This window comes from Homo sapiens, chromosome 6 (assembly GCF_000001405.40).
Source record: "Homo sapiens chromosome 6, GRCh38.p14 Primary Assembly".
NCBI classification, from domain to species: Eukaryota; Metazoa; Chordata; class Mammalia; order Primates; family Hominidae; genus Homo; species Homo sapiens.
Window position 1 is genome coordinate 71,374,942 of NC_000006.12, and position 3,826 is coordinate 71,378,767.

General features: G+C 34.0%; 1 non-coding gene across 1 annotated transcript; it reads right to left on the reverse strand.

Annotated features, from left to right (window-relative positions):
• Positions 1 to 2,018: 2,018 nt before the first annotated feature.
• Positions 2,019 to 2,090, reverse strand: MIR30C2 (microRNA 30c-2). Its single transcript, NR_029598.1, has one exon. It is a non-coding gene; the product is annotated as a microRNA 30c-2 (primary transcript).
• Between the last annotated feature and the right edge of the window lie 1,736 nt (positions 2,091 to 3,826).

Genomic DNA, 3,826 nt, shown 5'->3' on the forward strand with positions numbered 1-3,826 from the left:
ACATATATAAATATATATAAACATATATAAATATATATAAATATATATAAATATATGTAAATATATAAATATATGTAAATATATATAAATATATATATAAATATATATAAATATATATAAATATATATATAAATATATATAAATATATATAAAAATATATATAAATATATATATAAATATATATAAATATATATAAATATATAAATATATAAATATATATATATAACTTCTCAAGCATGCTTAATAATCCTACTTACTCATGTCACAAAACAGGCTAGTTAACAACTAGAACATATCTAGAAGAATAATACTAAACAAAAACCAAAATTATATAGCTTTATATCAAAGTTTTCCATAGTCAATGAAAGAAATATTCTGGAATATTTAAATACACTTGGTTTTGGAGGACAAGGCAATAAAAAGATTGAATAAAATTAGATATTTTACATAGATACACAAGATGTTTATATTTTGACACATTATATATTTTCTTGTAAGTTCCATGAGAAAAAGGACTTTGTTTCTGTTCTCTGCTATATCCCCTGTGCCTAGAAGTTCACATAGTAGATGCTCAATAAATAATTCTTGAATGATGAATGAATTTCAGCATGTATTTCAATAAGCTTTGAAACACCTACATTCATGACTAAAAGTTAACCATAAATTTAGATCTGGAATATTTGAATGTCCCCCCTTTTAATTTAGGCAGAATAATAAAATGCTATGGCAAAGCATATGCATCATTCTCTGCTGCTTAGAGTTGCTTTTCCCCTTACCCATATTATCTGCCTCTCCTAGCAGAAAGCAAAATTTCAAACATCTATAACAATTATTTCTTTGAGAAGACTGTAGAGCATTGTTTCAAAGAGGGTTTTCTTAAGCCTGTAGGCAAACCTAAAAAGGTAAATGACTCAATCAAGCTGGCACTTCAACAGTGTCTACCACTGCTTCAAGGCCAGCCTGTTCAAATACTTCCCTGAAATCACATGCTAAAGTCATTGTATTTAAACTTTTTTTCTATAAACTCATATGAAACAATTACTCCTATTGTATTAGGCTCTACAGTCAGTGCGGAGGTAAAATTAAAAGCTCCTCTAATACTTCTAAAGTAGTAGAGTGTCTTTTAGTTTAAATGACTGATATATGCTGATATGCCAAGACTAGAGTAATTTTGTTCAGATTTGTTTAATTTTTAATAGAAGCATTAAGTTAATTATTTAACTTCTTAAGGGCTTGTTATATAAAAATATGCCTTATTTAAATATTCTCTTTAACAAGAAGGCTTATTTCATAATAATTTTAAATAAATCAGCAATGGACTCAAATTTCAGGTAAGTTACATTCTAGATTAGATGTTTAATAGACCTTTGATTTAAACGATTTACATGAAAGAGTTTTTCTGGTTAAGGCTGAACTTATGAGTTCGTTCTGTAGATTTTTCTTAAAATTAACTTCTTGCATCCCATCCCTTACCTCTACATTTTCCTTCCTCTCCCGTCCTCCAACAACAATTCTATTTTTTCCTGAAATGTGTAACTATATTCTAGCTTTAAAGAGCAGACCTTATTGTTTGCCATTACAATTCCTAAAGCATGGGGCTCCAAGGTGCCTTTGATCCCTGATAAAATAGCAAGTCCAAGGACACTAGAATTTTTGCTTCAAGAAAAGCAGACTTCAGTGTGGAATGCTCTCAGGTTAAAGGAGAAATGTTTAGCTTAACGTATAGGTAATGTGTTGCTTTTACAGATCAGACTGCAGCAACCCACAAAATGTAGCCTCATACAAGTTAACCAGAACTTTTGTCACTTGGGTATTTGGTAATCTTTTTTTTCTTTTTAAACTAAGTGAAACAGTTCAAATATAACTGATATTATAGATTATCTTACATTTCTTTGGATGACTTAGTCAATTCACCTTTTTTCCTTTTACAGTTGACCTCAGAAACAAACACGGGATAGGATCAATTCTAAGACATAGAAATATTCAAAATCCATTTCTCTTTAGTTGACTTCCAAGGCAGAAAGAGTAAACAGCCTTCTCCCAGCTTTCTTACTTTCCACAGCTGAGAGTGTAGGATGTTTACAGTATCTGTCGCTCAGTGCTCTCTAGGATGGGGTTGGCAGTCAGCAGCACAAGCCTCAGGAAACCCAGTACCATTTGAAGATACCATAATATGTCACAGGAAAAGATCAGAAAAGTATACTTGGGACTAAATTATGGCTCTTTTAGGAGTAGGGTTGGAAGGGTGGGTGGGGAGGCTATATGACACTTACTTAGTGCTGCCTGCTCAGTTCTTGTTTTCTTCCTGTTTTGCACATCCTAAGATATTCCTAAGGTCTCTAGCTTTGAGCTTGCACACTCACGGATTTGGTTAATTTTGGATTTTCAATATTCTATGCTTTCCCAAAAGGGTTTCAAAATATTCGCCAAACTCCTTCCTTAAACAGTACATAATCCCTTTCTGACTGTTGGGAGACATGAAATGCAGCTTCTCACTCTCTGGGCTATACAACTTTGTTTCAGCTCACTCCTGCACAGAACTGAGAATAATGGCTAAACAGAAGACCAACAGTTTAATTACTGAAAATTAGTTACCTTAATGATGGGATACACAGTAATAAATTTAATCAAATGAGCAAAAAGTAAATATGTTAGAATACAACTTTACATGCATAAAAATGGTATATTGCAAATTGCTAATATAATGCTAAAATTATTTTAAAAATTCATATTCGGACAGAAGTGAACCTACAATTAGAGGCATACACATGAATGGAGTCAGTTGCTTCCTAAAGTTATTTTCTAAGAATGACTTATTCAAATAGTTCTTGGACTTCATTTGCTAAACTGGTCTAAGGTACACAAAATACTTGGGCGAAGAAGAAAGTCATCATTACTATACATCTCAGAACAAACCTACCTGATAAGAGACTACACTGTAAACCCAGGTGGCATATAATTCCAAACTGTTACAGGATCTTACTCATTTCATTCATTCATTCATTCATTCAACAAACAATTGTGACTGCCTGCCATATATCAGCAATGTTTTAAATTCTAGGTGATGAGAAATGAAGGGTATCATCCCTACCTTCGAGAAGGACACAGCTTAATTTGCAAGACAGACACATACACCATTACTATAAGTGTTATGATGGGTCAAAAGACACTTCTGAGTTGGCTAATAGCCAGGCTGAGTCTTGAAGCCTGAATAAAATTAGCTAGGTGAAGATGGTGCTAATGGGAATTTGGAAGGGGTGGGCAGTGAAGAAGATAGTGTAGCTTAAAGTGTACCAGAAAGAACAGTCATCCAATAGAGAAAGAAAGACAAAGGTAATGTATGCTGAGGCCTTTAAGAATTCAGCAGAGGTGGAGTCAAAGATGCATGTGGGTGAAGGGTAAGGGGAGAGACACAAGGGAAAGATGGGAGTCCTTATGTGCCAGGTTAAAGGGTTTGGGCATTATCTCCAAACGATGGGTACGAGTGAAAGATAGTAAGCAGGCAAGTGGGATGACCATGTCAGTACTTTAGAGAATTTACTCTAGCTTTAAGGTGGCAGGTAAGGAAAACAGGAAAAGAATCACTGCAGTAGTGTAAGGGAGAGCATGGGAGCCTTAATTAGGGAAGAGGCAGTAAGAACACAGAGAAAATGAATATGAGAAATTATAAAGACAAGAAGAACAGCAGAATTCAGTGAGTGAGTAGCTGAGGGGAGAGGCACTGTGGAGATGGAGAAGTCATGGGTAATTCACAAGCCTGGCTTGGGCTTCATAAGGCCTTTCATGCAGGAGGGAAAGAATAGGAAGAGAAGTGGAGAAGGAAAGA